This window comes from Homo sapiens, chromosome 1, assembly GCF_000001405.40.
Source record: "Homo sapiens chromosome 1, GRCh38.p14 Primary Assembly".
In the NCBI taxonomy this organism is placed as follows: domain Eukaryota; kingdom Metazoa; phylum Chordata; class Mammalia; order Primates; family Hominidae; genus Homo; species Homo sapiens.
This window is the reverse complement of record NC_000001.11, coordinates 212956503-212978964: the sequence shown is the minus strand read 5'-3', so window position 1 is coordinate 212978964 and position 22462 is coordinate 212956503. Positions and strand designations below refer to the sequence as shown.

At 49.5% G+C, this 22462-nt stretch overlaps 1 protein-coding gene across 4 annotated transcripts in view, besides 6 other annotated features; it reads right to left on the bottom strand.

The window, feature by feature from the left end:
• The window catches only part of VASH2 (vasohibin 2), a 41045-nt gene that overhangs the window by 12621 nt on the left and 5962 nt on the right, over nt 1-22462 (bottom strand). For 3 of the 4 annotated variants that reach the window (NM_001301056.2, NM_001136474.3, NM_001136475.3), the window contains 5 exons: nt 17711-17799; nt 13187-13243; nt 12620-12694; nt 6004-6385; nt 4895-5010 (listed from right to left, as the gene is read on the bottom strand). In NM_001301056.2, coding sequence (NP_001287985.1) covers nt 4895-5010; nt 6004-6385; nt 12620-12694; nt 13187-13243; nt 17711-17799 — 719 coding nt within the window. The remainder of the gene's footprint in view (nt 1-4894; nt 5011-6003; nt 6386-12619; nt 12695-13186; nt 13244-17710; nt 17800-22462) is intronic. The other variant, NM_024749.5, reaches the window with a different exon arrangement.
• Nucleotides 10622-11267: an enhancer, noted in NCBI's record as "OCT4-NANOG-H3K27ac-H3K4me1 hESC enhancer chr1:213141040-213141685 (GRCh37/hg19 assembly coordinates)". NCBI's record gives its function as "activates a minimal SCP1, AML or CMV promoter by ChIP-STARR-seq in naive and primed H9 embryonic stem cells {active_cell/tissue: H9 hESC(naive and primed)}" and the evidence as "EXISTENCE:reporter gene assay evidence [ECO:0000049][PMID:30033119]".
• Nucleotides 10844-11138: an enhancer, noted in NCBI's record as "tiled region #306; K562 Activating DNase unmatched - State 20:ReprD". NCBI's record gives its function as "activates a minimal TATA promoter and a strong SV40 promoter by Sharpr-MPRA in K562 cells {active_cell/tissue: K562}" and the evidence as "EXISTENCE:reporter gene assay evidence [ECO:0000049][PMID:27701403]".
• Nucleotides 18125-18625: an enhancer, noted in NCBI's record as "H3K27ac hESC enhancer chr1:213133682-213134182 (GRCh37/hg19 assembly coordinates)". NCBI's record gives its function as "activates a minimal SCP1, AML or CMV promoter by ChIP-STARR-seq in naive H9 embryonic stem cells {active_cell/tissue: H9 hESC(naive)}" and the evidence as "EXISTENCE:reporter gene assay evidence [ECO:0000049][PMID:30033119]".
• Nucleotides 18686-19343: an enhancer, noted in NCBI's record as "H3K27ac-H3K4me1 hESC enhancer chr1:213132964-213133621 (GRCh37/hg19 assembly coordinates)". NCBI's record gives its function as "activates a minimal SCP1, AML or CMV promoter by ChIP-STARR-seq in primed H9 embryonic stem cells {active_cell/tissue: H9 hESC(primed)}" and the evidence as "EXISTENCE:reporter gene assay evidence [ECO:0000049][PMID:30033119]".
• Nucleotides 19097-19246: an enhancer, noted in NCBI's record as "active region_2523". NCBI's record gives its function as "activates an Ori minimal core promoter by ATAC-STARR-seq in GM12878 lymphoblastoid cells {active_cell/tissue: GM12878}" and the evidence as "EXISTENCE:reporter gene assay evidence [ECO:0000049][PMID:35858748]".
• Nucleotides 20003-20660: an enhancer, noted in NCBI's record as "H3K27ac-H3K4me1 hESC enhancer chr1:213131647-213132304 (GRCh37/hg19 assembly coordinates)". NCBI's record gives its function as "activates a minimal SCP1, AML or CMV promoter by ChIP-STARR-seq in naive H9 embryonic stem cells {active_cell/tissue: H9 hESC(naive)}" and the evidence as "EXISTENCE:reporter gene assay evidence [ECO:0000049][PMID:30033119]".

Here is a 22462-nt window from a genome sequence, read left to right as displayed (position 1 = left end):
ATTAGGGAGAGAATCTTCCCTCCTCAAACACCTCAATCCATTTGAAACTTCAGCTGAGAGATCTGCCCTCCAGAGTTCCCTCCCAACCTCCAAGTGCTGGAGAAAGAGAAAAGAAGTGGCAAGGGTTTCCGCCACCAAGAATAACCATAGTCTTACTGGATTTGCTAATACAAAATTGTCCACGGGCACCTACAAGCCAACTGGGCTCTGTGGATGGTCAAACCGTTCCAAGGCCACTCGGCCCTAGTTGTGGGGAAAAAAAACCGCAAAGACTCTGACCTACTGGGAGCAGTTTAGGAAGGAGGACTTTTGGGAATCAATGTTTACCTGGGAGGAAGGGCTCGAGGGCAGGGGCGTGAGTCAGGGGGATTCTGAGGCAGGTGGCAATCACTCTTCACCTTTTTTGAAAAGTTGATGATTTCACTGAACCATCAGCCATCACCTCCGTGCTCCTGGGGCTTTCCCCACTGGGGCTGGGATCGACTTTGGGGCGTGGAGGGAGGAGGGTGATGGAAGAGAATTCCCCTCTTCCTGCAGGTCTTCCTTCCTGACCTCGAGTGACCGACCACTCCCTTCCCCAGTCTTTCTCCCCATTCCCAGGCCCACTCTGATGTGCTGGCAGGGTAGGAGGGGAGCGGGAGAGTAGATAGCTTTCACTCACAACTGAGGCAGTCTAACAGCTGTCCTCTGCAGGCGCAGGGGTGGTCACTTGCCTTGGCTGCATGAAAAAGTAGTCAGAGATTAGCGTATGGGCATGGCCTAGGGGATGAAGGACCGGAGGCCCAGTCTGGCCCCCAGGAGAGTGACCAGTTGGGCCCCTCCCAGAATGACTTCACTGGGGCCCAAACATGGGAGCCAGTGCAGGGTCAGACCCCCTAACTTCACCTCCACAACCTCATTATCCAGAGATCCAGGCAACACTGGACAAGGCTGAGCCCCTAAATCACACCCAACGGCTTTATCTGCCCCTCTCAGCAGACCCAGTACTTTTAGCCAGTGACTGTTATTTTTCAGGGTCAACCGCCAACTCAGTTTTCCCATTCTGATTCATCAAACACAGGTGGAGGCCTGCGGCTGAAGCAAACGGTAGATGTCAAAGTGTGGTCCCCGGACCAGCAGGATCAGCATCATTAGAAACACCAGTTCTCAGGCTCCATCCCATATGTGCTGAATCAGAAGCTCTGGGAAAGGGGTCCAGCAGTCTTCTGTTTCAACAAACCCTCCAGGTGATGCTGGTGCACACTCAGAGTTGAGAACAGGACTGCAGGGCCTATCTATCTGTCCTCAGCTGGGCCCTTTCTTCAACTCCTTCACTGGCAGGATAAAGGCCACTTAAGGTACAGTCCTTCAACTTCTACCTCCTCATGTATGTCAAGCTCTCCCTAATGTCCCCCCTTCCTTTGCCCTACCCTCTCCCCCACCCACCACCTTCTAAGCCCTCTCTGTAGCCTTCCATACCATGTGACCCCAGCTGCTCATATATCTTCCTCCATTAATCCCTTTGCTCTTGAACACTCATTTCTTTCTCCTGGTTATTTTCTCCGTGTGTCCAAAGACACTCTGGTCTCTTCCAATTCTAGAAAGACAAAAGCCCCAGGAGAACTCTATAGAGTTTACAAACTACCTAGAATAATCTGCTCTAAGTCCCCCGTCCCCTTACACAGGTGAGGCACAGAGAAGCAGCTTGCTCAAAGCCGCAAGCTGGTTCATGGCAGAGTTGGAGTGAGAAATCAGGTTGCTGCATCTCTGTTCAGGGCTCCTTCTTGATAAAGGAATCTGGCCTGCATCAGCTCCATCAGCTCTCACTCTCACTCCCTTTCGCAGGCTGGTTCCAGCCCCTCAGCCCTCTCAACACTGCCTCTCTAAATGTCACCTCAGTGCATAGTGCTTCTCCTTCCCCCACTACTTTCCCTCCTCCCCCTTGAAACCCACCCCTCCTCACCTTGTTGCGGCCACTTCTCATCGTTTTTGAAAAGCTTATGTTTTCACTGCTGAGCCCTGAGCCATCACCTCTGTGCTCCTGTGCTTCCCCCAGTGGGGCTGGGGTCGACTCCGGGACATGCGCGACAGAAGGTAATGGAGGAGAATGCCCTCTTCCTGCAGGTCTTCCTTCCTGACCTCAGGCGACCACTCCCTTTCCCTGGTCTTTCTCCCCATTCCCAGGCCCACTCTGGTGTGCCAGATGGGCAGGAGGGCAGAGGGCAAGTGGTGCCTCAACACCAGAAGGTAGCTTTGCACTCACGGCTGCGGCACTCTGACAGCTGTCCTCTGCAGGCGCAGGTGCACTCACAGTCCTGATCCATCCTCTCCCTCTCTGACTGTTCCTCTTCCATCTTCTGTTCTGGCTCTTTTTCTTGGGCTTCCTCAGGGCCTTGTCGTCACCATTTTTTTTTTTTACAGGGCCTCACTCCTTCGCCCAGACTGGAGAGCAATGGTGCTATCCGGGCTTGAAACGCCAGGCTCAAGTGATCCTCCCATCTCAGCCTCCCAAGAAGCTGGGACTACAGGCATGCATCACCATGCCTGGCTAATTTGTTGTTGTTGTAAAGACAGGGTCTCCCTATGTGGCATAGGCATGCTGGTCTCAAATGCCTGGGCTTGTGCAGTTATCGCTCCTTGGCCTCTCAAAGTGTTGGGATTACAGGTGTGAACCACCATGCCCAGCCATTTCTTTTTTCTCTTCTTTCTTTGCTCACAGACTTATCTGGCTGTCATTTCAACTGGCAATTCTAAGTAGATGGCTCCAATAGGACTTTTATCCCCCAGCTTCCTCAAACTCCAGGTCTGCATTTTTAGCAGCTCCCCCAATGCCGAAGATGCACCCCACATCCCATCATCCAAACTCAAACTCTCCTTCCTCCACATTTCCCAAACCAGCCACCACCACCTCCTGACTCCTGACATCATCCTGTTACCATGGTTTCTAAGATCTTTACCATCCCCTCACATTTATGGTCACGTTTCCTGGTTAAAAACTCAACATGGCCCTGTGAATGCAAAGTCCCTGTGGATCCAAGTAAAACGGATCCACCAGGACTAGTCTTCAAAATCAATAGCCACCATTCTGTGCAGGAATCCATTGCCAGGTGGAATGCTTGGGCCTTCATGTCCTCTGGATTCTAGAGTCTAAAGGGAAGGGCAGGCTTTTATAGACTCTGCTCGACATTTGCTGAAGATTGGGAGCTCCTCAGGGAATGACTCAGCCCTCCTTGGGCAAAACAGATAATAAATCAGACAAAATCAGTTCTTTTATGAGCAACTTGCTATTGCTGGGTCACTCACTCTATGCTAAATGACCCTCTGGGAAGAGTTTCTATGTTCATAGTCCTCTGAGACAACAACTACTTTGTGATGACAGCAGTTAATGGATGTTTGAATCAAAGACAGAGAGAGATATAGGGTAAGGGCTAAGGTTAGGGTCCAGGGTCAAGGGCAGTGGCCAGCATCACGGGGAGGATTGGGGTCAGGAGGCCACGTGTGAATGGCTGGAAGCCATCCTGCTCCCTGCAAGGACAAACCTATGCCAAAACTGTTCTCATCTTCAGCCTCTCTTGCTACCAGGAACACCTGACCTCTCACTGCTTCACACCTCACACCCTCCTTCCCAACCCAGAACGACAGCCATTGTCACCAAGGCCCTCGTGGCAGTACCTGCTGAACCCAGGACTGGCTGTAGGACGCGGAATGGGGCAAGTAAAGAACCTTCCTTGGAAATGAAAATACTTCGTCCTGTCCTGTTCTTCCGAAAACAGAACCTTCCCCGACTCTGCCCTGCCACCTCCCAGAATCAGAGGACCTGGGTTTCAGCCCCATTTCTCACTGACCAGCTACAGAACTTACTACAAGATAACAAGCCCTTTTTGTGTCCTGGTTTCTTCACCTGAAAACAAAACTCGTAAAATGTTCCCTGCTCACTGTACAGGATTGATGTAATGACGATAATGTGCTTGTGTGAAAGCAGTTCACTGTTGACAAGTCACTCTCGTTACATCATCTACTTGGATCTTTACAAACCACCGTGTCAGATAGGCAAGGAGAGCATTTGATACTCTTTTATGGATGAAGAAACCAAGGCTCCCCGAGGAGGAAGGATGTGCCCAGCTGCACAGCTAACACGTGGCACAGTTGGGATTCAACCAAGCCCCCTGTGCACTGTGCCACATGGTTCCAGCATGGCAAGAGGCTGGGTGACACAGCATGCTGCTATTATTAAGAAAAGCAGTATTTTTTCCCAGGATGGCTATAGTTCAAATATTTGCCAGCGGATTATCGCTGGTGAATTTGGGCATCCCCAGCATCTCCAATCTGTCATTGCTTAAGTGGGTTATTTTGGTCTAAGAAGTAGATGTGGGATCACTGGCCTCAGGGCTGAAACGGAGAGGGTAGAGTTAGCCAAGGAAGAAGAAGAGCCGGTGGGTGTTTCTGATGCCACCGTCCACTGATGGTAATCACACCTTCTGCTGGGTACAGAGGACTACAGAATTTTAGGGAAGTTCATAAATTCTAACAATCCCATTTTATGGGTGAGAAAACTTATGCCCAGAAAGATAACAAAGACATCCCCAAGCAGCTGAGCCAGTTCCAGCCCCAGGTTTCCTAATTCTAAGTCCAAGGCTCCCTCCGGGCCACCTGCATTTCAGACTATTCTTCACCTCATTCTGCCTGGGGCTTATCCCTCCGTTTGTGTGCAACTGACAGCAGAGAAGTGGCAATGGGGTGATGTGCCCAGTGGATCCTTTTCCACAGATGTCCCCTGAATGAGGGGCAGTCCTCTTGGAGATTGCTGTCAGGTTCAAATGCCATGCCCAAGACACAGCTTTGTCCCCATGGGCCAGGACAACCCCTTGAATGTGTGTGTTGGGCTTTGAGTTGGGGAAGAGGAAATATTACTCACGACTTCTCTCGCCGGCCGAGCCTCCTCGGGGGGCTTGCCTGTCTCCTTCTGGGGGACAGGGATTTTCCCCGGCTTCTCACTTGGGTCGGAGAGTGGGCACTTGCAGGTTTCAGGATCTGAAGGAGATGTGAGGAGTTAATCACCCTGGTTCCTAAGGGACCTCCACCCTCAGGTCTTCTTCTAGCACCACATTCCACCCCCCAGCCCAATCATGATGCCATGGTTTAGAAGGCATTGAGCAGGAAGACTTCTAAAAAAGGAGGCTGGAGACACACACATTCCTCTCTCGTCCTGTACTGTCAAGCAGCAAGGGCACCACTTCCAAGACAGATATACAGATGGTCACATTGTGCTCCCTGTGCCGTGTAGAGAGAGGAACACAGCCCAATGCCTCAGTCTCCCCGGGGCTGTGTTTGTTTGCTTGGCAAGTTCCTCTCCTCACGAAGGCAAAGTCCCATCTCTATTGCCTCAGAAACCAGCCTGTTCTTCCTCTGATGCTCCCATCCCACACATATGACAGAATGGTTTTAATTGATCAGGAATCTCCACTCCAGGTCCTGCAGAGTGAAGATGACAAGTCCACAAGTGCTAAACATAGCCAGGCCTGAAGTCAGCATAATCCTTTTCTCTTAGTGACTGCACAAGCCCTGGAGGGACATGGACAAGCGGGAATCACATCACTTTGGAGGTAAAACTGAGAGAGAGAAGAGGGACGTATGAGTATAGTCTATATAAGGCCAGCATATAAGGTTTTCCAGGTTTTAATACTGAAAATCTCATGTCCTGGGAAAACCCGCAGTTCCAGGCAAACTAGTACAACTGGTCACCCTATTACATCGACAAAACAGAACAAACTAGAGCTTCAATATAAAATGACTAACACTTTAGATCTGATTTCATAGAAGGAATTGCAGGACGAGACATTGTTTTAACTGTCGCATCTAAATTGATTTTAGATGGCTTTCTTTGCAGTAGTATGTGCAAAGAGAGACTTTAACCTCAAGAAATTTTTGGCCATCCTAGAAAAATGAGGCCTGGAGCAAGAGACAGAGAGAAAGGAATGGGAAAAGAGCTCTCCTGCATGGCTTCCTTGTCTTCCCAGCACCCACCTTCATTCTCATGTCCCTGGCATATTTCTCCAGCTCCTTCCTTATGTCAGCCCTCAGCATCTTTGAGACGTTGAGGACCAGCTGCTTCCACTCAATGGGCTGGAAGCTATGAGGCTCATGGGGGACGTACAGCCCAATCTTGACCTTCTTGACTGTGTGCAGGTATTTCTTGTAAGAGTCCTCAAAGTCAAAGATGAGGTCACTCAGAGTCCGAAAAGTCAATGGCTTGTCCATCAGCTCAGCCCTGCGGCTCATGCCCAATGAGCCATAGCGGCCATTGCAGTAAATCCCCAGCACAACGTGGTGAAAGTAGTTTCCTGAGAAGTAGGTTTTAAAGCTGATGGGGAACCGCTCAATGGAAGGCTGCCCATTGGTTAAGTAGCTTAGACAATCTGAGTCAAGGAAGAGAAAGGAGGCCTTGAAAATTTGAAGCCTGGATGCAAAGGAAGGGAAAGTGTCTCAGGGTTCAGTGAGTCCATCCCCCTGCCTCTGAGCAGGCCCACATCTAACTTTTCCAGACTAATCCTTTTATAAAGGATTCGCTTGTTATGTTTGACTATCTACTATATGCTGTATATCCAAACCAAGTAAATATGAGACAAAGAGAAAAACTTGTCATTTTCTTCAGTAATTACATACATGCAAAACAAAACAATAACAAGGCACTTTTTCCTCTGCTCCTGGGGCTCACACAGGCTGCAACCCGGCCTGGAACAGCCTCATGACTATCCCTTCCCCTCTCCTGGGTGTCTTGCCTCCCTGACCTTCCTCATCCTAGCTTAGGTATTCTTGCTCCCTGCCCCGCCCCAAGTCAATTGGTAAAGGCTTTGGACCTGGAACAATTGGGAATGCAGAAGGAGGTGGCAATGAAATGTGAATGCAGGCAGGGGAGTATATAACCTGAGCTTTTCCAGGGAAGGGGGAGCAGCAGCACCAAGCCTGGGATCATCTTTCCAAAACACACAAGAACCCCCATGGCACTTGGTGCTTACCCATCCTGTACTGTAATTGTTTGTATCTTGTGAGGGCGGGGGTTGTGTCTCACATCCTGGCATTCCCTGGGCACAGCACTGGCCTGGTACACAGATGGGCTTGTTTAATGCTTACAGAAAGAACGAACCTTAGATTGTGGATGTGCACTGCCTTACACTTAAAAGGGCTGCTCTCGGTGCCAGAGCTAATCCAAGTGCCCTGAAGAGAAGGATGCTGACAGAATCCATCCACAGCACTGGCGGCAGCCTTGTCCTCTGCTCTCGGTTTAATCACGGATGCCTCCACTCTCTAGAAAGAAAGCAGTTTTGTACTTGCTTTCTCTTCACTTTATCATGTGAGATCACCTGGCAGTTAGGGAGTGAAATCACATCCTTCTGAGTCCTCTTACGTAAATTCCTAGCTGCTTTCTGGGGCAAGTTCTCTGGGGCTGGAACAAGGGCATTCCTTAGCTGCTTAAGTCAGTGTGACAAACACTTACCCTGAGTGTCTGCTGTGCCCGACAGCCTGCCAGGTAGGGCTGTGGAGCCAAAGATAAGAACACAGCCCTTCTCCGGAGGTCTGGTGGGAGATGGACTCAGAATGCACACAATGTGATCAGTATGGCAATTCCTCAAATAATTCAACAGGATTACCCTAGGACCTGGCAATTCCACTTCTGGGTGCATACCCAAAAGAATTGAAAGCAGCGACCCCAGCAGGTATTTGTACACCCATGCTCTGAACAGCATCATTTGCAATAGCCAGAAGGTGGAAACAACGCAAATATCCATCGATGGATAAAGGGATGAACAAAATGTAGTGTATACATGTAATAGAATTTATTCAGCCTCATAAGGGAGGGAAATTCTGCAATGTGCAGAATGAGCCTTGAAGACATGCTGAGTGAAATCAGCCTAATACAAAAGGACAAATATGGTATGATTCCACTCATCTGCGGTACCTGGAGTAGCAAGTGCATACAGACAGAGAGTAGAACGGTGGTGGGCAGGGGCTGGAGGGGGGAAATGGGGAGTACTTTTTAACGGGTATGGGGTTTCATTTCTGGGGAGGAATGGTGGTCTTTTTTTTTTCATTTTTTTGAGACACAGTCTCACTCTGTCACCCAGGCTGGAGTGCAGTGGTGCGATCTCAGCTCACTGCAGCCTCTGCCTCCCAAGTTCAAGCGATTCTCCCGCCTCAGCCTCCTGAGTAGCTGGAATTACAGGCACCCGCCACCATACCTGGCTAATTTTTGTATTTTTAGTAAAGACGGGGTTTCACAATGTTGGTCAGGCTGGTCTCGAACTCCTGACCTCAGGTAATCTGTCCTCCTCGGCCTCCCAAAGTGTTGGGATTACAGGCATGAGCCACTGCGCCTGGCCGGAATGGTGGTCATTTTGCAGAGCATTATGAATGCACTTAATGTCACTGAACTGTGCACTTAAAAATGGTTAAAATGGTAAATTATGTTATATTTTACCACAATAAAAACCAAAACACAATGTGAAGTGTGTTATAAGAAAGGCAAGCCTAGCAACCTCTGGGTGGACAGAGGAGGGGCCTCAGCAGAGTAACACTGGAATTCATCTTACAGGATAAGTAGTCAGCCAGGTGGAGAAGTGGGGAGGAGACAAGAGAGAGCACCAGTCCCTCATGTCACGAGTCACTGATCTTGAGGATTTCTCCCATCATGATGTCAACTGGTAAAGCCTTGGGACCTGGAGCAACTGGGAATGGAGAGGGAGGTGGCGAGGTAGTATGGAGGCAGGCAGGGGAGTAACCTGACCTTTTCCAGGGAAGCGGGAGCAGCAGCGCCAAGCCAGGGATCATCTTTCTGGCATCCAGCCTCCTGGGGCTATTCCTAACCTGCCTCTCATAATGAACCTGTTTCTTTAATAAACCACAGTGCTTTAGTACCACAAGCAAGCCCCACCATGGCCAGTGAGGCCCCCCAAAATACCTGCCATAGTTCACAAGATAATTTGGAAGCAAAGATCTACCTCTCCAGCATGCATGTAAAAGCATGCGCATGCCCTCAAGCAAGATAAAAAGAAGTGGCTCAGAACTAATGAATCCTGAACTCTGGGCCAAAGTCAAAAAAAGAGAAGGCAAGGAAGGACAGGCCAATGGACACAGGCGTCCAAGCAGCCAAGCCAACCAGTTTCAAAGTTGTTGAGCCAGGACCTGCAGAAGGGCCTGTGGGAGACACAGACGGATGAACCCATTCATATCCTTCACTATCCCCGAGTGGAAAGCAGGACCCAGGGATGCTGACCAAAGCAAAGAGAAAAGACAGAGATGCTGTAACTTTTAGAATCCAGGTCTGTTTGGGAGGCTGAGGCGGGCAGATCACCTGAGGTCAGGAGTTCAAGATCAGCCTGGTCAACATGGTGAAACCTCATCTCTACTAAAAATACAAAAACTTAGCCGAGATCGCGCCACTGCACTCCAGCCTGGATCACAGACCGAGACTCCGTCTCAAAAAAAGAATTCGGGCCAGGTGCAGTGGTTCACGCCTATAATCCCAGCACTTTGGGAGGCCGAGGTGGGCGGATCACGAGGTCAGCAGATTGAGACCATCCTGGCTAACACAGTGAAACCCTGTCTCTACTAAAAATACAAAAAAATTAGCCGGGCATGGCGGCGTGCGCCTGTTGTTGTCCCAGCTGCTGGGGAGGCTGAGGCAGGAGAATGGCGTGAACCCGGGAGGCAGAGCTTGCAGTGAGCTGAGATCTCGCCACTGCACTCCAGCTTGGGCGACAGACCAAGACTCCGTCTCAAAAAAAAAAAAAAAAGAAGAAGAATTCGGATCTGTGTTTCCTGTCTGTGTGCAAGAGTCAAATTTCCCTGAGTTCAGCAGCGTGAACTGAAGCTCTCCACCTTCCTGCACTTTTCTGAAATGTCAGAAGGATAAGAACAAAGGAAAACCACGAGCACACTGTCTCTGATTTGGACAGGCTCAAAGGCTGTTCCTGGGTCTATCCCCACAATTCCAAAAGGTCGTGGGTGATTCCAGTGGCATGATGCGCAAATGTATAAAATTGTGCAGGGATGAGACTATTGTGTAAGGGAGGTGGTCATTTCAATGACCTAAATCCAGAGGCACTCAGACACCCCTCAACAAAGAGTCTGAAGTTAGCTTGTCTACCCCATGAAGGGCCTGGGCTTGTGTTCCCCTTCGTTGATCTCTTCCACCAGCAAATCCCCAGCCAATCATCTGCCCCCATTAAACTTGCAGGAGGCTTCGCTGAACAGCTGTGGCTGACTCCTGCCACTAAAGAGTTGGGGCCCTGAGCCATCTGCTGCCCCGACCCCCATTCCCAGCTTCCTGCTGGGTTCCCCAGGCACATGTTTCATCTCCTTTGTGGGAAACAGGGAGGAGGATGACAAGAGGGTTGGGGAGGGGCCTCAGTAAGGTTCAAGTTTCCATTTTTCAAATGTCAGCCAAGGCACCTGTGGTCAATCTGGTTTCAGATCAGGGCTGCAAGTGTTCCACAGACTGCAGAGAGGCACAGAGATTCTCCTTCCCACAAAGATGTCCAGGAGACCCAGAAAACAGACTAGACCAATCCTCCTGTCCCCAGTCTAATTCTGAGCCACATGTCCTTCCACTGACCTCTCCATCCCCTTTCTCTCCTGGTTTTCTTTCTACCTCTCTTTCCTTCTTAAGTCTCTTTCATGGGCTCTTTGTGCCAAACTAGACCAAAAAATACTGATTTCATCTTTGATCTTTTTCTCCTTTCACTTATTGAACAGTAAGCACAACCTCCTAATCACAGCTCCTAAATTCGCATTTCCAGTGCAGATTCCCCTGTGAGCTCCACATTGCAAATACCTCATTCCGACATCCCACAAGGCACCTCAAATTTCACATGTCCAAATCTGAGCTCATCTTTCCCTAAATCCGATCCTCTCCTTGAAGTTCTTCCCTTGTGGCATTATCATGCAAGCCAGAAATGTGGAGTCACTGCCTTTCTCCAATAACTCCTCCCATCTAAGCAGTCCCCTAGTGGTGGTGATGATGTATGCCTCCATCCCTTCCCTCCACCTTCACTGGCACTGTCTTAGTTCAGGTCTGCATTGACGCATATCCTTTCTCTGCCACTCTCATTCCTCCAGCTAATCCCGCAGTCGATTGCCCAATTCAGAAACCTGGAGACGTTGACTCCTTCCTCATTAACTCCTGCGTCTGGTTGGCCTGCAAGTCCTATACATTCTATCTCCTTGATAGCTCTTAAAACCATTCCCTGAAATCCATTCCCATCCCCAGGGCCATGAGTCTAGCCTCACCATTCCCTCATGTAACAGCTCCCAACGGGCTTTGCTGATCCAGCCCAGCCTTTCCCAATCTGTCCTTCAGCCTGTGCTTTGGAGAACTACCTCTCTAGAGCATATACCTAAGCATGCCACACCTCTGCTTCAGAGCTTTCATCTGGGTTGCCCATTGCCTTTTGGAAAAAAGTCATTTCTCAGCACAGCGCTCAAGGACCTAACTGATCTTGCCTGGGACCATCTCTCAAGCTCCTGTCTTGCAGTGTTTCCTTTTCCACTGTCCCTTACAGCCATCCATCCCATAGGACTTCGGAGCATCTTTGCTCTTCTATCTGATTGTGGCAGATCAGGCTCAAAGGCTGTTCCTGGGTCTATCCCCACAATTTCAAAGGGTTGTGGGTGATTCCAATGGCATGATGCTCGAATGTATAAAATTGTGCAGGGATGAGACTATTGTGTAAGGGAGGTGGTCATCACCACCAATATGTCGATGCCATCACAGTTTCTCTGCACCATATTCCTCTCAGGCTGAAGAGCCGGGAGTCTGGTGAAAAATGGAACAGAAAGTGTGGGAGAAGCTAGACCCTTGTTTTAGCTGTGGGTTCTGTCAAGTCAGGATACACCACCACTGCTTGGTCTCCTCCACACGCCACTCTTAGAATTTTCCCTGGCGAGCCAGGCGCGATGGCTCCTGCCTCTAATCTCAACACTTTGGGAGGCTGAGGTGGGCGGATCACTTGAGCTCAGCAGTTTGAGACCAGCCTGCTGGTGAAACATGGTGAAACCTCATCTCTACCAAAAATACAAACAAACAAACAAAAAATTAGCCGGGCATGGTGGCCTGCGCCTGTAATCCCAGCTACTCAGGAGGCTGAGGTCAGAAGGTCACTTGAGCCTGGGAGGCGGAAGTTGCAGCGAGCTGAGATCATATCACTGAATTTTCAAAGACATTTCCCTGGAGATGGGTTTGGATACTAGCACTCTTGGCTCTGATTGCATTTCCCCTTGACTGTCTTTCCTGCTGCAATGTCATATTAATGCAAAGAACAGCCACATACACACTCTCTCTAGTCCCTCCAAGTTAGAATTCTCCTTGTGATTAGTGAGTCTGCAAGGTCACTGGCCTGAGAGCTGGACCTGATGGAGGCTGAAGCTCACAGGTTAGACTGATATTGGTCCAAGAAGCCAAGCATTGATTTGGTTCAATTCTACATGGTGAAAGTTAAAGAGATGAACCAGAGGAGTTTGACACTTTCCTCAAAGGAGATAATGGGCATCATCTCTGAGAATTTACAATGTTAAAGGCACAACAAGCCCCATTGTGAAGCCGCCATTTATGGAGTAAACTAAGCATACATAACTTAAAGGATACATGCCCAGGATGACAGCTTCAAGGCATTTGATAGGCAAGGACTCTCGGGTCATTTCTTTTGCTGTTTCCATTAACCTGTAGGATAGAGCACAGCAGAGGATCTCAGAACCTATTTAATTACACACTCGGTCAGTCTGTCAATCCATCAGCATGCCTGTCCCCACACCAGGAACCACACAGGAGCACGGAGGGAAAAGGGAGAAGTCACCTTGCAGGAAGGCACCAAAGCACAAGAGTTAATTCCTGGAGTTAGTGCCAGTACTCCATAGCACCCTCCCAATGCCCCAGCACGGGGGCATTACAATAGAACAAATAAATGAAGCCTCGAGAGGCAGAGTTTACAAGCCTCCTCCACCCTGGAAGCTAGAATTCACCACTGAGCTCCACTGTCAGAGTTGCTCAGTCCTCAGTCCCACCTCCAACCTGGCCCTGGGGCACCCTCCGCCTCCACCCCTTACAGACTAGGATACCTGAGCCATGGGCTACGGGAATAGAGGTTGGGAGAGGAAGCTGGCAGCTCGAATGTAGGAGAGAGGTCATCTGGCCCATAGATCATGCACCACTTACCCACTCAGCGGTCTCATTTTCCTAATTTCAAAGAACTGGGTCCCTGTGTGATTATATCTGTGTAAAGTATGTAAAGGGAAAGTGACAGAAAACTCCAAAGGTCCCAGTAATGTGGCAGAGAAAGCTATGCATTCTGATTTCTCAATGAGATGAGGATGTGAGGGCTTTCAGAAGTCGCCAGCACCCAGAAGGTAGCTAGTAGTAGCCTCTAACTCCTCACTATCCTGCCCTGGAAATCTAATTTCTAACTTAGGCTTCAAAGTACCATGGACCTTTATAATAGCTCTTTTCAATCTGCTCTGTATTCCGGGTAGTTGACTATTTGTCTTAATTCACCTACTAGACTACAAGCTCTTTGAGAGCTGGTACTATTCTTTTTTTAAAAAAACAAGTTTTTTTAAGACATGGTCTTGCTATGTTGCCCAGGCTTGTCTTGAACTCCTGGGCTCAAGTGATTTTCCTGCCTCAGCCTCCCAAGTAGCTGGGACCTCAGGTATACACCACCATACCTAGCTAGAACTATTCTTTCATTATCTTTATATCACCCATAAAACCTGGCAGAAGGCCAGGTGCAGTGGCTTATGCCTGTAACCCCATTGGGAGGCTGAGGTGGGTGGATCACCTGAGGTCAGGAGTTCGACACCAGCCTGGCCAACATGGCAAAATCCAGTCTCTACTAAAAATACAAAAATTAGCCAAGTGTAATGGCATGGGCCTGTAATCCCAGCTACTCAGGAGGCTGAGGCAGGAGAATCACTTGAATCTAAGAGGCAGAATTTATGGTGAGCCAAGATCTCACCACTGCACGTCAGCCTGGGCAACATAGTGATATTCTGTCTAAAAAAAAAAAAAAAAACCTGGCAGAAACCCAACATATGCAAGTTAACAAATGTTACTAAATGAATGAGGAATACATGAATGGATGGATGAATATATGGATGGATGGAAAGGTGGATGGATGAATGAGTGGATGGATGGATTGGAAGGGTGGATGGGGACGGATGGAAGCAAGGATGAAAGGGTGGATTGTTAGCAGTAGGGCTTTGCAGTAGCGCATAGACTCTGTAGCAGGGCTTACTGTGGAGATGTCACTTTTTTTCATGCCTATGCTGGCACTTGGCATTGATTACTAAATCTGAGAAGCTGCACCATTATTCACTATCTGGGATTTAGCTGACTGCCCAGAAGGTCTCAGGGACTGACCAGCTTGCACCAAGTTGTTCTGAAGGAGATGGAGAGTTCCCTGATGCCGTGCTCTCTGAGGACTGGGTTTTGATTTTTCTGAGCCTAATGAGAAGTTGCTTTGTAGGTTTTGCTCTTCTGCCTCAAACAAAAGCCTATAGGAAAAGTGCACATCGGGAAGGTGCTAATGAAGCCTGAATTTCTATGCCCAGAGCTGCTGCAGGCCAGGTGGGGATGGGAGAGTCAATGGGTGCCCCACAGTGACAGGGGCGCCTAGCGGCACTTCGATCCCTCCTGAAAAGGGCTGGGATTCCTCTCTTGGCACAGCTGTGCTTGGTCACTCAGACACGAGCACACGTAACCCCTTGAAGAGCTCAGTATAAGCAGATTCTGGGCTCCAGCCCTGGAGAGTCTGATTTCAGGCCATGGAGCATAACCCCAGATGCTACTCAGAGTCACCTCACCTTAGATGACTGAGCAGGAAGCTCCAGGGTGAGGGCTGGGGGGCCTCCCAAGATCACCAGTTTGAGAGTTACTGACCTGGGCATTAAGAACAACAACTAACCATACAGTCTTGCCCAGTTTTTAAAACATACAACATACAAGATCCTAGAGGTAAAAGAGGAAAATGAAGGGCTAAATATTCTCATTGTGAAGTGATTTCTTTACCTCACCAAAAATTTTATACAAGCAACGAGGTTCCTGGTACATAAAGTAGAATTCAATTGGCAAAAATTCAGTTCTATGCCCAACTTTCCTCCGCTCACATATCTAATTTATACATCTAGTGTAACAAATGAGACAAACGTAGAGTAAAATAAAAAAAAAAAGTGTACCTGAACATCTTCTTTCAGTTCCTTAGAGTTAATCATTGAGTCCCTGAAAGTGGGCTGGGGAGAAGTCTGCTCTAAACATGCCCTGAGTGGGAGATACTCACTGAGCCCGAATTTGCTGTTAGAAGGCTTCTCCCCCAATCCAGCAGAGCTCACATGGCACCTCTCTCTCCAGAACCCCATGCAACACCAGTACTCTTGTTGGTTGCTGCCGAGGATGTCTGAGGGGAAGGCAGGATTTGTCCTTTCCTATCCCCACCGCCAGCTGAGCACATTCACAGTCAGGACTGATGCCAACCAGTCCCCATATCCTGGCACCTGTCACTGTGTCCAGGACAAAGCAGTAGGAAGTCCCAAGGAACTAAATAAAAGTCAGGTCAGCAGGTAGAAGAGTGGGTGCCCTGTCTTCCTCGTGCAGTGGCCCCAGTGGGCAGGGGGCTGGGAGCAGGTCCCCGCAGCCTGCTGGTGCTTCCCTTCTCTGGCCCTCTCTGCAGTCAGTGATGCTGTTGGTCATTGACCTTCGCAGTCATAATGGGTCAGAGAAGAGAAAAATGGAAAAGCAGATCCTTCAGGGCAACCATGAAAATGTGGCAGAGAATATGCTGTCAGGTTTACAGCAGTGTGAGCAAATGATATGTAAAGCACATGCAAATTTGCCCCATCAATGCATTCCCAGTTTAATTCTCTTAACTCTCAGCCAGATGATCCTTGTGAAGACCATGTCCTAGATAGAAGTGGGGAACCTTAAAGCCTATAATCAGTTGACTTTAAGTTAAAAAAAAAAAAGAGATGGGGAGGCATTCTAATTGCTGTCACCTTCTAGAATAGCCTATGAGGAGTCAGTCACATCCAGAAAGGGCCAGCTCTTGGGGTCCAGGTCTGCTCTGGCAGGAGTTTGTGCCTTGGGACCATGTGGAACTCCCCATGCAGGTCCCAGAGTGGGGATCAGCACAAACAGCAGACAGCCTTCCAAGGGCTAGGGCTGCCAGCCTCACTCTTGGAGACCGGCGCTACCTCCTCCTCCTAATATTGCCTTAGGATTTTACTGGAAAGATGCCATGTTGGGGAGTTGATGATCCGTGAAGTGAAAACAGAGAAGCCAATCAAGTAATCTCCCTACCCAAATGAGCAGAAATTGGTGTTTTCCGATCTAGTAAACACCAACCCCTGTGGGGGAGGTGCTAGTGTTCGGTCCCTGCAAGGAAGACACAAATATCCACCAGAAAGATTTTTGCCATAACATAGAATGGAGGGGCTTTTCTGGGACATGTGGGGCATGTGTGCAGTGCCCCCTGAAATCCTTTCTGCCTCAGGGCTGGGTATGGACAGACAAACAGAAAGCCAGTCAATGTGCCTGGGACCTTGTAGAACAGGCTATGTTTTATACATTCATGGAGGAAGGATAGCGGTCCACAGAAGCTTGACCTCCTGGACAATGTGCTGGGGTCCAGCTTCCCATCTGACTCCTCTATAAAATACCAGAAGGGGCAGGTGGACCACCCGCTCCTGCCCCTCTGTCCCTACAGCATTGCTCGTGGGAGTTCTCAGAACTGATGTAATCCTGACTGCAAACAACCTGCGGATGCGGAGAAGAAAGGGACCAAACCAGCTGGTCTGAACTCAGACTGAACCCAGTGAGTTTCTTAAGTCTTCTTCAAGCTCGAGTCGGGGGAGAGGGCCCCCAATCCCAGAAGCCGAACCATTCATGTAGAACCAAGCAGGTCACCAGCCTGGGTCACCTGGGGAGACAAAGGCAGCACCAGGTGGGCCTCTTGTAGATCATGAGCAGTTAGGGATGAGGGCAAAACAGAGAAAGAGAAAACGAATGGAAGAGTAGGAGGGAAGAAGGCAATAGACAGTGGAGGGCTCCGTGTGGTGACTCACGCCTGTAATCCCAGCACTTTGGGAGGCCGAGGTGGGCGGATCACTTGAGGTAAGTTCCAGGCCAGCCTGACTAACATGGTGAAACTCTGTCTCTACTAAAAATACAAAAATTAGTCAGGTGTGGTGGCGGATGCCTGTAATCCCAGCTACTCAGGAGGCTGAGGCAGGAGAATCACTTGCACCCAGGAGGTGGAGGTTTCAGTGAGCTGAGAATGCGCCAACGCCCTCCATCCTGGGTGACAAAGCAAGTCCTCATGTCAAAAAGAAGGACAGTGAAGGAGAACAGGAGGAGGGGAACAAAGATGCCCAAGAGAAAGGAAGTGGAGAAAGAGGAGAAGATAGAAGGAAGAGGGGTGCTCAGGGGAAAAAGGGAAAGGACAGGGAAGAGGAGGGAGAAAGAGAAGCAGAAGGGCTCAAGGGGAACCAGCCTGCCCTACTGGGTCACTGCAATGACAACCTCCACGCACACTCTTTCTAGACTCCCACCCGGGACATCCCTCCATGCCTGGCCTCACCAACCTTAGAGAGCTTTTGATGACCAGCTGGGGACAGATTTGCCACCAGGCTTGCGATCACCATGCCTGTCCCCTGGCTGGGTGTGCTCAGACCTTGGTTGGAAGGATACTGTAGGGTCTTCATGTAATTCTGGATCGCCTGGAGCCAGTCTGGGATCGTCATCGACAGCCTGTAGTTTGGGACCTGGGGTATTGAAGGCTGCAGAAAAATAGAGAAGAGGAGGTGTTTATGAAGGAGGCGCTCTGGGGCCCAGCTTCTGGGGGCAGGCAGAGGGCTAAAGCCACCAGAGAGAGAGGTGCTCCTGAGAGCCGATGGCAGCATGGTCACCCTGGTGTGGTTACCTGATTGAGCAGTGCCTCCTCCATGAGGTCTCCCAGGAACAGTGGGTCCCTCATTGAAGCTCTGCCTCTCTGAGTTCCCTCTGAGTCATGGTGGCTCTCTATGGCCCTCCGTGCTGTGTGAATACAGCCTTTTTCCCTGCAGAAGGCTAATGCCTCCTTGATGCGAAGGACTATGTTCTATCATGTCCCCCCACCGAGCCTGGCCCAGGACGGACACGAAAGCATTCCAGCATTCCATCAATGATTGCATAATGCCTGCTGCATGGCAAATGGTGATCCACTACAAGTGCTCTACTGCAGGGCAACATTTACACAGAATATAAAGTGAATGGATGCCGGGCGCCATGGCTCACGCCTGTAATCCCAGCACTTTGGGAGGCCAAGGCGTGTGGATCACATGAGTCCAGGAGTTTGAGACCAGCCTGGGCAACATGGTGAAACCCCATCTCTAAAATTCAAATAGATAAATAAATAAAGTGAATGGTGCCCTAGCGAATTGCAACATGGCACTACGAGTGCCACATCTCAATACCACCCTCCCTGCAACGCCCAGTGTGTCCCTTTCCCTGAGTCCCACCCCCAGATGGATTAGGGAAGATCCCTCCTCTTGCCTCGACTCTCCCCAGACAAGTGCAGCTCCTCTGGCTCACACGCCATCTTACCACTTTACCCCTCACAGCAGCTCCACCAACACACTCACTTCCTAGTCTGCCCCTCAATCAACACTCCCTGAATGTCTACAACACAGCAGACGAAGTCCTAATCCCTGCCAGGAAGAGAAAGAACCAAAGTCAGGCAAGGACTGGAAAGGGGGAAGCAGGTCCCACTTCTCAGGAATTTAGAGCTAAGATATCCACTCGGCTCTGAGCAGCCGTACCCTGAAGGCCAAGAGCAAGAACAGACAGGGACGTCCAATCAAGTCGCTGCTGAAAAGCCAGGCACGGTTTGGGGTTTTCTTGGTTGGTTTTGTTTTTCGCTTTATTTCACCTACATGTTTCTCGGTCTTCTGACCTCTGTCTCCCTGGGGTCCTTGGTGACAGAGAATCTCAGCCCACGTGGGTGGGGCTCCGGCAGTGCTGCTGCTGGGAAGGAGAAAGGAGGCTCCTCCAGGCTAAGCCACTTAAGGAGAAGCAGAAAGGGCCTGAGGACAGGTGAGGCCCATCCTCAGAGCAAACAGGGCAAGGGCAGCCCTGGGGATCTGGTGCTCCGCTGATGGAAGGGGACTCCGCTGGGGAGGTGCAGGGATGGCCCTGTGCAGCCAGGCCAGGCAGCAGAGGCAGACACTGCCTAAGGCTGTTCGAGGCTCTCTCCCTGACTCTCCAGGCGCCAGCCCCAGTGTGAGGCTGAGGGCACGCTGCCCCCCGCCTGGGCATCGGGGTCTTTCCATGCTTCCACCCCGCTGCCTACACTTACTGCAAGTACTCCTTGACATTCCTTTCCTCTCACTGCCTCAATTCTCTCTTGGCTTTGAAATGTCCTACTTCACAGCAACTGCCTCCTCAGCTGGAAGGAAACTCATCAGAATCACACTTCCTGCATTACAGCCAAGGTATTGTGTGTGTGTGTGTGTGTGTGAATGTGCGTGTGAATGTGAGTGTGTGTGCACACTCAGGCACAGCTATTCTGCAAGCTCCATTTTGTTTACAACATGTCAACCCAAATCAATCACATTGCTGTCTGAGAGAGTCATTTCAGGGGGCAAGGCATTGAATATTTGCTCCCATGACACTCACAGAGACACACACACACACACACAGAGCAAGTCAAAATGTAAAGCGTATTCTGTGTTTCTGCCCTAGCATACACTAGAAAGTGTTCTATGTAAAAAATGTGCCAGAGATTTCACAAAGTGGGGAGAGAAGGGGAGACGTGAACAAGTATGTCTTTAGCACCTCCTGTGTTTCAAGTTTTAGGCCCTGTACGAACGAACGAGAGAGAAAGCCCAGGAGCAGAGGCAGAGAGGAGGGGAATTCTAGTTTATTAAGACATACGCAGGTCGGGCGCAGTGGCTGACGCCTGTAATCCCAGCGCTTTGGGAGGCCGAGGTGGGCAGATCGCTTGAGCCCAGAAGTTCGAGACCAGCCTGGGCAACATGGCGAGACCCCATCACTAAAAAAAAAAGAAAGAAAGAAAGAAAGAAAATTAGCCGAGCATGGTGATGCACGCCTGTAGTTTCAGCTACTCAGGAGGCTGAGGTAGGAAGATGGCTTGAGCCCAGGGGGTCAAGGCTGCAGTGAGCCATAAATGGGCCACCGCACTCCAGCTTGAGTGACAGAGCAAGACCCTGTCTCAAAAAAAAAAGACATAAACATTTCTGCACAGAAAAGCACAGTCTGAACCTCTTTAATAGAAAAGCTGGTAAGTGTGGGAAAATGCTCTGAGGAATCACCAGCCACCTAAGAGATCCCCAGAGGGGTGTCCCTAGGCCAGAGCCTTGCTGTAACCAGTGACTTGGTTCAAGAGTCTGCTGAAGGACTGACCACCAAATTATTTCAACCCCCCTCAAGCCCAGCAGAGCCCACAAGAGCTGGATGGCAGGGTGGGAGCAGACGGCAGGTGGTCCCCAAAATAGCAACCCGATGGCGCCCAAGGGCTTTTAAAAACAGCTGCATGGTTACCTCAGCCTGGCTGTAAGCAGAGTGCAGGAGCTGTGGCCACACTTCCTGCCCAACGGGAGGACAAACGTATACATTCCCCAAGTCCCAGCTGGGGGCAGGGCAGTGGCGGGGAGGCGCAGAGACCACAGAGGGAATGATGTCATAGGCTACAGCTCACTCTGATGTCTGGGAGAGCTGTCTGGGCTCAGCCTGGAGGGTCCACTTCCAACCAGCGCCTCGGGCTCCCAACGTTCCCACTGGCCATGGACTGTAAACCAGGTGGGCTTCCCGGAGTGTCATTAGGAGACACACACAACCAGGTCCAAAGCCCTGCTCTGCCACCTACTAGCTGTGGGCCCTGGTCAAGCTGCATGACCTCTCTAAGCCTCTGTTTTCTTCCTGATAAAATAGGAATAGTATCACCTACTTCCAACCTTCCAAGCTGGTTGTAAGCATTACATGACCTAATGCAAAAGTAGGCAACTTGGGGCTTGGCATATGGTGCTCATTAAGTGTAAGCTGTGTTGGCCAGGTGCCGTGGCTCACACGTGTAGTCCCAACACTTTGGGAGGCCAAGGTGAGTGGATCACTTGAGGTTGGGAGTTTGAGACCAGCCTGGCCAACAGGGCGAAACTAAAAATACAAAAATCAGCTGGGCATGGTGGTAGGCGCCTGTAAACCCAGCTACTTGGCAGGCTGAGGCAGGAGAATTGCTTAAACCTGAGAGGCGGAGGTTGCAGTGATTGAGCCACTGCACTCCAGCGTGGGTGTCAGAGCAAGACTCCATCTCAAAAAAAAAAAAAAAAAAGTGTAAGCTGTGTATTATTCATCACCAATATATTGTCAGGGGTCTAGGCTGGGGAAACCTGAATGATCCCTACTTTCTGGAACTGGAAAACAGAAACAGCAGCAGCAGAGTCCCTGGACACTCAACTTGGGAGCTTCACATCATGAAGATACCTTCTTACCTTAATGGAGAGGATGAAAACGTTCACTGCTCCCTGGGGATGCATTGGTGACAATGAGTTAATACCCTTAATTCATTATGAGCTCATGCAAAGTGACAAGAAAAATCTTTAGGCCTCAGTGAAAATAAAAATGGCCCCCAAAGGTGGAAGCAACCCAAGTGTCCATTGACAGATGAATGAATAAACAAAATGTGGCGCACCACGGAATATACGATGGTATACAGTGGAACACGATTCAGCCTTTAAAAGGAAAGACGTTTTGACACATGCTATCACATAGATGAACCTTGATGACATTTTGCTAAATGAAGTAAGCCAATCACAAAAGGACAAATATTGAATAATTCCTCTTATATAAGGTTCCCAGAGTAGTCAAAGTCATAGAGACACAAAGTAGAATGGTCGTTGCCAGGGGCTGGGGAGAGAGGGAAATGGAAAGTTAGTGTGGAATGGATACAAGGTTTCAGTTAGGAAGATGAAAAACGTCTGGAGATGGATGGTGGTGATGGCTGCACAACAGTGTGAAGGTACTCAATGCCACAGAGTTGTACACTTAAAAACGGTGAAAATGGTAAACTGTATCATATATATATCTCTCTCTCCACAATTTTAAGAGCCACGAAAAGACAATTCACAAAAGAAGAAAAGCAAATAATAACCAAATACTTGAAAAAATTGTTTAAGTGCTCTAATAATATAAGAAATGCAAATTAAACCCACTGCAAAATGTCATTTTTCACCTCTCCAATTAGCAAAAACATGCTGAAATACAGATACCCAATGCTGGTAAGGATGCTCTCCTACAGGATCGAGGCAAACATAAATTGGTGCAACCTTTTCAAGAAAAGCCCAGGGCATATCCCTTTTTTCTGTTCGTGACTGGGGTCCCTCCTCATGCTATTTTCCTGCCAGATTTCATCAATTGCTGTACTACCTGAAACTCCAACTTTGTCTT